The 13,240-nt window shown below is 46.1% G+C and overlaps 1 protein-coding gene across 13 annotated transcripts in view, besides 1 other annotated feature; it reads right to left on the minus strand.

Annotated features, from left to right (window-relative positions):
* Positions 1 to 13,240, minus strand: part of ASAP1 (ArfGAP with SH3 domain, ankyrin repeat and PH domain 1) — a 391,571-nt gene that overhangs the window by 365,785 nt on the left and 12,546 nt on the right. For 4 of the 13 annotated variants that reach the window (XM_047421804.1, XM_047421800.1, XM_047421799.1 and 1 more), the window contains exon 2: positions 9,846 to 9,934. The exons of the other annotated variants lie outside the window; for them this stretch is intronic. The gene's annotated coding sequence lies outside the window, so the exon portion shown is untranslated. The remainder of the gene's footprint in view (positions 1 to 9,845; positions 9,935 to 13,240) is intronic. 13 annotated transcript variants of the gene reach the window in all.
* Positions 1,162 to 1,665: an enhancer, noted in NCBI's record as "H3K27ac-H3K4me1 hESC enhancer chr8:131431296-131431799 (GRCh37/hg19 assembly coordinates)". NCBI's record gives its function as "activates a minimal SCP1, AML or CMV promoter by ChIP-STARR-seq in naive H9 embryonic stem cells {active_cell/tissue: H9 hESC(naive)}" and the evidence as "EXISTENCE:reporter gene assay evidence [ECO:0000049][PMID:30033119]".

Consider the following 13,240-nt stretch of genomic DNA (forward strand, 5'->3'; position numbering starts at 1 on the left):
ATAAAAGTCTCAGGATTGACTCTGACTGTTCATCCATCCTTGAACTAATTTCTGTGGCCAGGGGCTGGAACACTCACTGGACTAGCCAGGTATTGCTTATGTGCCCAGATGGACACGGGGAGCGGGTCAGCTCCACAAGACCCACAGACCAAGGGAGGGGAGGAGAACTTGCCCCAAGGCCACAAGGACAGAAGAGAGAGGAGAGGAAAGGAGATGGTGTAAACCATAATTTTTATCAGAGAATAAGGTAGCAATCAACTTCAGCCTTAAATAAAACAAAGAGAATAGGAGCATAAGTCTTTCTTTAATGTTTTTTTCCAACAGGTTTCTTGACTTATAATTCACATACAATTAATCACAATTTAAAGTATACAATTCAGGCCCGGCACGGTCGCACACACCTGTAATCCCAGCACTTTGGGAGGGCCAGGCGGGCGGATCATGAGGTCAGGAGTTTGAGACCAGCCTGACCAACATGGTGAAACCTCGTCTCTACTAAAAATACAAAAATTAGTCGGTCATGGTGGCATGAGCCTGTAATCCCAGCTACTCAGGAGGCTGAGGCAGGAGGATCACTTGAACTCAGGAGGCGGAGGTTGCAGTGAGCTGAGACAGCGCCACTGCACTCCAGCCTGGGTGACCTCTGTCTCAAAATAAATAAATAAATAAATAAATAAATAAATAAAATAAAGTGTACAATTCAATGGTTTTTAGCATAATTCACAGAAGTGTGCAACCATCACCTCAAAATGAAACCCCGAACCCATAAGCAGTCACTCCCCGTTCCACCCTCTACACACCCCCGGCAAAAATAACAATATAACCTCTGTTTATATAGCTTTGCCTATTTGGATAGAATCATACAATAGGTGCCAAAAAAAATAGGAGTTTTTTTTTTTTTAATTATTCTTTCTTTTGTGGCAAAATCTACAAAAAGATCTCCTTCCCTAAACTCCTAGTTGAACTCTGACCTTGTGGCTCTGATGGAGTGAAGTCTCAATCCCTGGAATCACTGCTGTGGAAGGGGCTTCAGTTCATCCCTTCAGCGACATGGGCCACAGGAATGAGAGGCTTAGGAGACCCTCCCTAAGAGGCCTGGTAAAAGGCAGAAGCTGGAAATGGTGCTGTTCAGCAGGCCTGAGCCGAACATGGCACATCAGGCCCTGCAGCCAGGGCAGGGACCCTTCCTGGAGGCCAGGGTCCCGCACGCATTGTCTCACCCCAGCCAGTGTGTGGTGGAGCAGAAAAAAACCGAGGCTTCAGTCAAACAGATGGTCCAAGGACTCCCCAAGGACACGGCGCTATGGGTTTTCTGCCCAGCATCGCTCCTCATTGCTGATTTCAACTGGGATCTCCCTTCCCATGAAGTACATGTGCCCACAGTCCCAGGTGTGGGCCTCACTGGCTTAAAACCATCCCCATCGTCTGCCACTAATTACTTTAGAAGGAATATGTAACCCAATTGGGGTCAATAAGATATGAGGCTGGAGGTTTCTGAGAAAGCCCTTTCTCTTTTGTCCAGAAGTTTCTGAAATGGGGTTTTCTCCCTTCTTTTGGATGTTATAAGAAAGATGTGAAGCTAAAAACGGCTGCAGCCGATCTCACTACCAGTCTTGGGGAGATGCCAACATAGGAAGGTCGAACCCAAAGAACTACGGGAAAAGGAAGCTGCGCAGCCACTGTGCCAGTCCCCCTCCACTGGTCCTCCCTTTTCCGTCTGACTCTGCACCCCAAATTGACCTCAGGGACTAGTGCAAGGGCTTGCTCCTCCTCTGCTACAGGGTGGTTTCAGCAACAGGGAGCCCCAGCAGAAGACAGGAGGGAGGGAGAGGGAGGCTGAGGCATCCGATCTCTTCCCTGGGGCTCCCTCTCTAGGGGTCACTGTGAAACGGCTGCTGGCCTCAATCCAAGTTTCAGCTCTGGCCAGGGCTCCTTCGCACAGCCCTCGCTGTCTCCGGTTTCCAATAACTCTTCCTCCTTGCTCCTCAAAACTAGGCACACACAGGAGCCTTGGGGCTTTGCTATCCCTGGAGCTTCCCTACATCTGCCTGCACCACCTTCTTCTTCTTTTTTTTTTTTTTAATAGAGATGGGGGTCTTGCTATGTTTACCAGGCTGGTCTCGAACTCCTGGTCTCAAGCAATCCTCCCATCTCTGCTCCGCAAAGTGCTGAGATTACAGGTGTGAGCCACCACGCCCAGCCAACCAGCTTACACCTACTTAAAGATTCCTTTATGTGGCCAAAAAGCAGGTGAGAAGATGCTTAAAGGCATTAGTCATTAGGGAAATGCAAATCAAAACCACAGTAAGATAAAACCTCACACCCACTAGGCTGGCCATAATGAAATACACACACACACACACACACACACACACACACACACACACACACAATAGCAATAACAAGTCTTGGCGAGGATGTAGAGAAACTGGAACCCTCATACATTGCTGGTGGGAGTGCAAAATGGTTCAGCTACTTTGGAAAAGTCAAAACATGGGTTATCAGATGACCCAGCACCTCCACTCCTGGCCATATACCTAGAAGAAGTGAAAATGTACATTCAAATAAATACTTGTAAATGAATGTTCATAGCAGCACTATTCACGATGGCCAGGAGGTGGAAACAACCCAAAACCTATCAGCCAAGGAATGGAATGGATAAACCAAGTGTGGTACAGCCATACAATGCAATTATTCAGCCATAAATATAAATGAAGTACTGAGGCCAGGTGCGGTGGCTCACACCTGTAATCCCAGCACTGTGGGAGGCCGAGGCAGACGGATCACCTGAGGTCAGGAGTTCGAGACTAGCCTGGCCAACATGGAGAAACCCCATCTCTACTAAAAATACAAAAATTAGCCAGGCGTAGTGGTGCACACCTGTAATCCCACTACTTGGAAGGCTGAGGCAGGAGAATCACTTGAACTCGGGAGGCAGAGGTTGCAGTGAGCCAAGATCACGCCACTGCACTCCAGCCTGGGCAAAAAGAGCAAAACTCCAACTCAAAAAAAAAAAAAAAAGTTACTTCATTCATTCCTCTTAACACAAAATTATGAGTCTTCCCTCACTGGCAATAATAATACCTACTTGGTAGAATGGGTATCGGGCTCCAATGAGGAACATACAGTATAGCCACTAAGCAGGCAGGCTCTGTTACCAGCTTGTTGGACCCGAATCTCAGCTCCATCCCTTACTAGCTGTGTGACCTTGGGCAAATTACTTCAAGCTTGCTTGTCCTCTGCCTCTCTCCTCCCCTCCTACCAGCAACAGTCTTAGTGTTCTGCATACGCTGGGTGCATAACAACAACAACAAAAAAATCACAGTGTCTAGAGTTGGGAGGGACTTTGGATCTCTCCAGACTAGGGGTTGGCAAATTATAGCCCTGGTCACAAATATCACTTTATCAGGAGTTTTGCTTCTCCAAGCCAAACATTCCCCATCCCTTCAACCAAGCCTCAGAGGACAAGATGTTGAGCCCCATTCACCATCTGTGGCAGCACTGCTAGTTCACCAAAACTCTGTTTTCTCTTCCTCCTGGGTGCATGGCTAGACTACATTTCCCAGACTCCCTTGCAGCTGGGTGTGACCATGTGTCAGACTTCTAGCTAAGGAATGAGATAGAAATGTTGCATGCCATTCTTCAGGCCAAGGTTTTTAAGAAGTGGGTGTGCTTTCTCCAGGCTCCTTCCCTCTTCTGCCAGTGGAAGCTGACAGCAACAAAGCTCCAGGGGGCAGCAGGGCCACAGAATGTAGCAGAGGCCTAGGTCTATGAGCCACCACATGGATGAGAGACTCCCACCGAACTAGAAATACACATTTTGGGCTTTTACATGAAGAAGGAAAAACATTTCTTGTGTTTGAGCCAATAAACATCGTGGGGACTATTTGTTATTGCAGCTATTATCACTATATTACTAACTAATACACCATCCCAGTCTCCTTAATATGTGTCTACTGAATTGAATTACAGAAGGTTTCATTAATTCATCCAAAAAAGGCTTCACCTGAATACCTACTATGTGAGAAATCCTGTGAGTTCCAAATAAACATAATATAAGAATATCTGCTCTCAGAAAGCCACAAAATAGTGGGGGAGACAGAGGTATGAACAAAACAGACAGTGAAATGTACAAGGTAGAGGGGGTGGGCACAAACAAGAAGGTGGTCAATTCTACCCAGAATCAGGCTGGTCAGGAACGGCCTCCTGGAAGAGGGGAATACTCCAGCTCAGAATAAGGAGCTCATCATGTAGACAAACCTTACAGGCCTTCAGAGACCAACCTGAGCCACAGTGTGGAGGCCTGAGGGGGATGGGCACATCTTCAACAACAGCTGCAGGTGGAGGAAGGGGAGGAAAGGGAAGAAGGGGGCGTGGAGATGAAGCCGATGAGGACTCTGGAGCCAGACCATCACAGTCACCTGGTGAGGGTCCAGGAGCATATAAACTGTGACTACAGAGAAACACTGATTTAATCTAATCTAGCCCTTTCCAGATGAGGCCTGACTTTCTAATTCCTTGATAGAAAAGTAAATTCCCAGGCTCGGATCACCCACGCTTCCTGGCTCCTGCTCCCTGGGCTGTGCTTGTCTCTTACACAGTGTACTTTCCCGCCTTCTCCCTTGCCTCGGGCTTCTCTGCAGTTCCTCCTAAGCTGTCTCTGTCAAGATTCCATTGTCCTTAGAAATCTAATAATCTAAACCCTTCCTTCTCTGTGCTCCCAAAACTCTCTCCCATGGATCAGCCTCTTGGAGGGGATTCACACTCCTTGAAGTAGGCCTGGAGATTAACAATCATCTTGACAAATCTTGGTTCATTTCCCATAAAGGGGACAGGAGCCAGGGAACAGCAAGAGGCTTGGTCCTGGGTTCATAGCAAGTTCTGGGTTCAAATCTCCACTGTCATTTGTGAATTCTGGGACTTGGAGCAAGCCAGTAAGCAGGCTGAAGCCTCAGTTTCCTCCACTGCTGCCTTCTATTATTCTTAACATGGAATGATAAAGATGGATCCGGAAACAACCTCAAATATCCATCTGCTTCACCTCCAACACTTTAAAGAATAGGAAATTGAGGTCCTCAGAGGTTAAGCAGCCTGAGGTCACAGTTGACGGCAAAGTCAGGTCTAGAATCCAAGTCTATGTATAAGCACAGTACCAAGTAATAGAACTAAATTGCGCCATTGGTTTCGGTCAGTTTACAACAACTATTACAATCCATATTTATACTTTTTTTTTGAGACAGAGTCTCGCTCTGTCACCCAGGCTGGAGTGCAGTGGGTCAATCTCGGCTCACTGCAACCTCCAGCTCCCAGGTTCAAGCGATTCTCCTGCATCAGCCACCTGCATAGCTGGGAAATATGTTCAACTTTAGCATTAAATTTAAAAATGCAAATAAAGAACATTTATCTTTAGTCCATCAGCTATGCAAAAATTAACATAATTGATAATGCCTGGGGCGGGCAAGAAATGTATACTTGCAAAATTGCTCATAGAAATACAGATTGGTAAACCTTTCTGGAGGGTGGCTTGGTAATATGTACAACACTTGAAAATGTGCCTACCCTTTGTCCCTGAAATTCCACCTCTGGGAATTTGTCAAAAGTAAGTATTTGGACAAGTATGTACATGCAAAAACTAGAAACAACCTAAATGTCCATTAAAAAAGAACCAGTCAAATAAATTATGATCTATCCATGGCCAGCAAAAATGATCATGTAAATCTATATTTATTCAACATGGAAGGAGAGTCCCTATATATTATATGAAGGAATAAGTTGAAAAGAATGTGTAAGATGTCACTGTTCGCAAAAACTATGTGTCTATGAGTATATCAGCATAGAGAGACAAAAGTGGTTATCTCTCATTGGCTGGATAATTATGGATGATGATTATTTGCTTCTTTATCTTTTCTTGTTCTTTCTGAATTTTCTGTTATGAGCATTTACTATGTTTACATTTGGAGGAGAAAAAGTAATTGTGCAGAAAGTACTTTAAAGGTTATCTAGGGCTGGGGGAGGAGAATTGGGAAAATGGGGGGTGACTGCTAATGAGTATGGATGGAGTTTTTTTTGAAGGGCGGTGATGAAAATGTTCTAAAATTGACTGCGGCGATGGCTGCACAACTCTGAATATATTAAAAACCACTGAATTCTGCAATTTAAATGGTGATTTGCATGGCATGTGAATTATATGTCAATAAAGCTATTACAAAAATATAATTTAAAATGGATAACAAAAGAAACTATAAAAGGCCTTGAGGTTAAAAAAAAATCAATAAATGTGAGCTGAGCTTGAAAATGGGAGAGTTGCAAAATGTCCTCACATGAGACTGCGGCTGCCCATTCTCTGGTCTATACAGGCAAACTCAGTCAACCAGAATTTCTGGAAAACACTGTCCCAGATCTCCCAGCCCAGGAGGACTCCGGCCCACCCCCAGCCTATTGGTCTGACGGCCTAGCCCCCACTCTCCTGATGCAATTATCCACATGCCTCTGCCATGTAGACAAGCCTCGGAGAGCACTCCACTTCCCAAGAGCCCTTCAGCACCGCTGATTCAAACAGTAACAGCTCTCTGACTTTGCTCTTCCCTTCAAAAAGCCCAGAGGCTACCTTGTAGGCTCAGCGTTTGTTTTTGTTTTTTTTAAACAATTTAATCTTCCCAGTGACATGCTGGGATTGGAAGAGATACTGGCTGGAAACACTGCCCTTCTCAGCAGGTGATAAAAGGGACCAGGTGCATTCATTCATTTAAAAGAGCACTTCCTGAGCATCTACCAGGTAGCAGGCCCAGAGACAGGTACTGCACTTACAAGAGTGGACAAAACAGGCCAGGCGTGGTGGCTCAGGCCTGTAATCCCAGCACTTTGGTAGGTCAAGGTGGGCGGATCACGAGGTCAGGAGATCAAGACCATCTTGGCTAACACGATGAAACCCTGTCTCTACTAAAAATACAAAAAATTAGCCGGGCATGGTGGCAGGTGCCTGTAGTTCCAGCTACTCGGGAGGCTGAGGCAGGAGAATCGCTTGAACCCGGGAGGCAGAGGTTGCAGTGAGCCGAGATCTCACCACTGCACTCCAGCCTGGGTGACAGAGCGAGATTCCGTCTCAATAAAAATAAATAAATAAATAAATAAAAAAAAGAGTGGACAAACAGTGTGGGTCAGGCCGGGCGCAATGGCTTATCCCTGTAATCCCAACACTTTGAGAGGCCGAAGTGGGCGAAATCACTTGAAATCAGGAGTTCAAGATCAGCCTGGCCAACATGGCCAAATCCCATCTCTACTAAAAATATAAAAATTAGCTGGGCATGGTAGCAGGCACCTGTAATCCCAGCTACTTGGGAGGCTGAGGAAGGAGAATCACTTGAACCTGGGAGGCAGAGGTTACAGTGAGGTGAGATTGTGCCACTGCACTCCAGCCTGGGTGACAGAGTGAGACTCCATCTCAAAATATATATATATATGTAAATAAAAATACAAAAATAAGCCATGCATGGTGTCACACAGCTGTAGTCCCAACTGTTTGGGAGGCTGAGGTATGAGAATCCTTTGAACCCGTGAGGCAGAGGTTGCAGTGAGCCGAGATCTCACCACTGCACTCCAGCCTGGGCGACAGAGCAAGACTCTGTCTCAAAAAACACAAAGAACAAAAAACAGCATGGGTCTCATGAAGCTCATGGACCAGCAGAGGGAACAGACAGACAATGAAAGATCAGAGTGACAGATGTTTTGAAAAGGTTAAGCATAAGGGGGATCCTGGGAGCACTGAAGATGGCTCCAAATTCAATCTTAGGGATCAGAGAATGACAGGCTAATCATCATAAGCATTTAAAATGCCTACAAGTTATGTCAGGCACTGGGCTAGGTTTTAAGGACACTTAAGAAAGAAGACACATTCCTGTTCTAAAGCGGCTGACAGACTAACAAACTTGATGTATAGTATCTCCAAAGTCCTCCCAATCTCCCTACAATGGCCAAGGTAGAACTGACCCAGCTTAGCCATGGTTTGGATGAGTTGAGGGAGGAAGAAGAAATCCATACTTTCAGAGTTCAGCCGTCCCCACCACTGCCGCTGCTTCCACTCTCACCAGCATTAAGCATTTGCAGACAGCAAATACTGCTTGATATGGTTTGGATCTGTGTCCCCACCCAAATCTCAGGTAGAACTGTAATTCCCAGTGTCGGAGGAGGGGCCTTGTGGGAGGTGATTGAATCATGAAAGGTGTTTCTAATGGTTTAGCACCATCCCCCTAGTGCTGTCTCATGATAAACTCTCCCGAGATCCGCTTGTTTAAAAGTGTGTGACAGCTTCCTCCTCTCTCTCTCTTTCTCCTGCTCCGCCATGTAAGATGTACCTGCTTCCCCTTCGCCTTCTACCATAATTGTAAGTTTCCTGAGGCCTCCCCAGAAGCAGAAGCCTGTACAGCCTGCAGAACCATGTGCTGATTAAACCTCTTTTCTTTATAAATTATCCAGTCTCAAGTAGTTCTTTATAGCAGTGTGAGCATAAACTAATACACTGGTTAGGAAAAAAAAAAAAAGGGTAAGCCAAGCTCATATCATTCTTCCACTCACAACCCTCCAAGAGCTGCTTTTGTCATTCAGAGCAAAAGCTAAAGTCCACAAAATGCCCAGCAAGGTTAAGCCCTCATCCCCACCCCATCAACCTTTTCCTGCACCAACTTTCTTGTCACTTACTCCACTCCAGCCACACTGGCTTCCTTGAGGTACCTTTAATGTGCCATGCATGCAGTTATCAGGGTCTCTGCATGGGGCAGGCCCTGTGCCTAGGAATCGTTTCTCCCCAAACTGCCGTGTGCTCACTCCCTCAGCTCCTTTGGGTCTTTGCTTAGTGTCACATTCTCAGGGAAAGCCTCCTTGAACACCCCATTTAACAATGCACACCCTCCCCAGCATGCCCCAGCCTCCTCTCCAGATGATTTTTCTTCCATAAGGACTATTTGTCGTCTCACACACCATCCGTTTCATGTTTGTTTGCTATCTGTTGCCCCACTGGAATGTAAAGTCCATGAGGATAGGGATTTTTCTCTGTCATGTTTGCTACTGTTGTCCCGCCCCTAGAATACCACCGGCATGCAATGTAAATGCAAACAAATATGCATGGAATAAATATCAAGGTTCCTAGCTGGAGTGTCTAGGATGAGGATACATGAGGAGTCATTACTGGGCAGAGACGGCAGAGCAGGAGTGGGTGGGAAGGGGGACTTCAGGTGCCAGGTCATGGGGAAAACAGCTTGGCCACTCTGTTCAGTGGCTATTTTTAAGCCATCCAGAGCTGAGAAGCCTTTACCTGCTTTTCTTGATATTTTAAAGAACCGGAGAGCAATGGGGACTTCATGGTTATACCTGCCAGTAAGAGTTATCATGGCCTCCCAGGAGCCACCATGTCTCACCCCTTCCTCCCAGGGACTCAGCTCCTCTTGATATTGACAGTGTGTTTACTCCTATGAAATGCAAGCCCTTCCAAAGGCCAGCTCTCTCTTCCCACCTCTGATTAATTAGGTTTCACAAGCACCAATAAGCCCTTGCCGAGAATCCCACATGTGGACAGGGTTCAGTGTAGAACAACTGACTTTTATTCAGGGCCTCTCAGATGCCACATACTTGGCCTATAAAATCCCAATTTAATCTCCACCATACTCTGCAGGGGGTATTGGCAGCGCAAGTGGAAAGGAGAGGAAACTGAGGCTCAGAAAAAAGGTGCCGAAGGTCACCAAGCAAGGGACAGAGCCAGATTCCATGAAGGACTCCAACACAGGACTATGTGATACCAGAGTTTACACTCTCTCTGTCATACCACACTATCTCTAAGACATGGAATAACTCACATTGTTCCTTTTTCATCCTTCAGAATCCGTGCTTCTCCCCTTCAGTTTGAATATCCTCTCAATGCAATGCACAGGGAGGCCAACACAACCTGGAGGTGAAGGAGGTACAGCTGAGCCCCAACAGAGGGATGTTTCTAAAGCACAACTCACAAATCTCATCTTCCTGGTGGCAGGATTAAGACCTACCTTCTTCTCAATTTCAATCTAGTCTCTGCTCACTGTGCCCCTGTATCTTAAGCCCCTGGCTCCCATCCCTTCCACATCCTACCACATCAACCTCTTCTCCAATCCTTCTCCAAGTCTCTACACTTGGCCACAAAGCACCCGCCCCACCATTGTCTACATGGTGACTCATGGGCCACCATCTGAGAGAACTTTGGGGATTCCCTTTTCCCACACAGTCATGCAGTGAATCAAACGTCACTTCACCTCTTGAGGAACTGTCCCTCTTCAGTGTCCATCTCACTCTCTAGACTGGGAATATTTACTTTGAATCACCTGCTCCTAGTATAATACCAACGAAGTTCCCAAAAAATGCCACTGGAGGCATGTCTAAAATATAAAATTGGAAGGAATATTCATGCCAGTGCTCGCTAAATTAAAGCCACAGGACTATCTACAGTCAGACACATGTGGCCACCTTCTGGGTGAGTCTTTAGGCCAAATGCCAAATCACCACCACCATCACCATCATCATCATCACCACCACCACCATCATTATCACCATCATCATCACCACCACCACCACCATCTTCATCACCATCACCATCACCACCATCAGCAGTGGCAGCAGCACCACTATCATCACCATCATATAACTACCACCATCATCACCACCATCATCATCATCAACTCCATCATCACCACTATCACCATCATCATCACCACCACCACCACCACTGTCATCATCACCACCATCATCACCATCCCCCCACCATCATCATCACCATCAGAACTACCACCATCATCATCACTACCACCATCATCATCATCACTACCAACATCACCACCATCAGCAGCACCATTATCATCCCCATTACCACCATCATCATATCATCATCACCATCACCACCACCACCACCATCATTATCATTGCATTAATTTTCTAGGGCTGTCATTAAAAAGTACCAAAATTGGATGGCTTAAAAGAACAGAAATTTATTCTCTCACAATTCAGGAGGCTAGAATTCCAAAATCAATATATCAGCAGGGCCACACCCTCTCCGGTTCTTCTCAGAGAGAATCCTTCCTTGCCTCTTCCTGGCTTGTGGTGGTTGCCAGAAATCCTTTATGTTCCCTGAATTGTAGCTGCATCACTGCAGTCACAGGGGTGTCTTCTCCCTGTGTGCCTTGACATCGTCTTCCCTCTGTGCATATCTGCCTCTAGGTCCTAATTTCCTTTATAAGGACACCAGTCATTTTGGATCCAGGCTCGCCCTAATGACTTCATTTTAATTTTTGTTTCCTCTGTGGAGAGCTTATTTGTAAATAAAAACACAATCTGAGGTTTTGGGGGTTAGTACTTCAAGATATCTTTTGAAGGGACACAATTCAACCTGTAACAGTCATCTTCATCACCACTGTCATCAGGATAGCTAACATTTCCTCTCCCCCTAGTTCCATGTGCCAGGCACCACTCTCACTGTTCTCCATGTCTCACTTTAGATAGTTCTCTTGACAAAACCTATGAGGCAAAAGTCTTATTCTCTCCATTTGACAGGTAACAAAACTAAGGCTCAAAGAGGTTTGAAACTTGCTTACAGTCAGCAAGTAGCCAGTAAAAAGCCAAGTTAGGACCCACACCTAAGTCCAGGATCCAAACTCTTACCAGCCATCCATACCACAGAAGCAGCGTTGTTTCTGGTGTATGATTACCCTCTGTAGACTCTGTTTCAGGTCCCATGTGATTACCATCTGCAAACACTTAACACTATTACTTTCTTCAAGCTGGAAGTTTAAAATATCACTACTGAACTTAACTTACCCCAACCAACTTTCAACTTGTTCCAGAAGGAGAACACCCCCACTCCCCCGCAACACACACACGTTCTGTCCATTAAGATTCTTTGGGAAAAATGAGTTTTGAAGAATAACGCATGTATACTTCGCTGACTAATTCATGTGGCCCTGCTTATGCAAACTCCTCAATTTGTTGTTCTCTATAATAGCTGCCTGGAGGGCAGCCTCCACTCATTTCATGATGATACATCCCAGAGCCTGGGCAACGTGCCCCAGTAGATGGCTCCTGATTGCCCAGGAAGTTACAAGGTGGCCAATGGAAAGATCATCGGCTTGAAGTCAGGAAGCCTGAGACTAAGTCTTAGCTTCCGTTTCCTCCTCCAAATGAACTCCCCTGAGCACCAGGGCCCCGATCCTTCTGGACCTCAAAGACAACTCAAAAAAGCTTCTCGAATTTAGCAAAAGAGAGATTGTCAAACTCTCAGCTAAAAAGGAACAAAGGAATAATTCATTCATCAAACATGAATTAAGCATCTGGTCTACTACAGGATGGGCAGTTTGCTAAGTGGATATGAAGGACTCACCAAGATGAATAAAATGGCAAGGAGGAAAGAAAACCTGTGTGTTTGTACGTACGTATGTGTTAGGATGGCACTTTAATGTATTTTTTTACTCACTCATCCCTCAGTAAGGCAAGTTATCTCCATTTCACAGCTGAAGAAATGAAGGTTTGGCAAGTTGGGTGACTTGTCTAAAGGCGTTCAGTGGGTAAGCAGAGAGCCAGGGCTGACCCTCGGTCTGAGCAGTTGAAACGTCCAGCTGCTTTCCTCTGACCCTGACCACCTGGGCATGGGGATGGAGACTGAAGCTTGTTAAGCAGGAAGGTGACCCAATCTGAAGTTTTAAGGAGATTTCCCTGAGGCAGCTCAGAGGATGGGCTGAGGGCAGTGAGGTAGGAGAGGGTTGGATGATTCCAGAGAAACCACCCAGAACACTGACCCGAGGCAGGAACTGTGGGATGGACAGAAGGGGCTGGACTGCAGACACTGGGAAGGTGTATTCAGAATTGGTTTGGGTTGGAAGAAGAGCAAGAAAGAAAGACAATGAGTGACAGGCGTGAAGGGAGTCTTCTCTCTTCTCAAGCTCAGACCTAGAAAGCAAGGACTTCGGGAAAAACATGTCACAGCTCCACTTCCTGTTCCACTTAAGGAGCAGCCAAAGTGCTGCAGCTGTGGGAGGAGAAGACCGGAGAGAAGGGAGGACATAGACTTGCGCCTCCCTCAGATAGTTTCCCACTGAAGCCAGGAACTGACCACTCTAAGGGACGCACACACTAGAAGAATCAGGAGGCTGAGGAGGTGACAATGTTTTGAGACATAGACATGACTCAGCCTTGCCAACTGGCCAGAAATCAGTGTCATGGCTCTCTCTCTTCC

This window comes from Homo sapiens, chromosome 8, assembly GCF_000001405.40.
Source record: "Homo sapiens chromosome 8, GRCh38.p14 Primary Assembly".
NCBI lineage: Eukaryota > Metazoa > Chordata > Mammalia > Primates > Hominidae > Homo > Homo sapiens.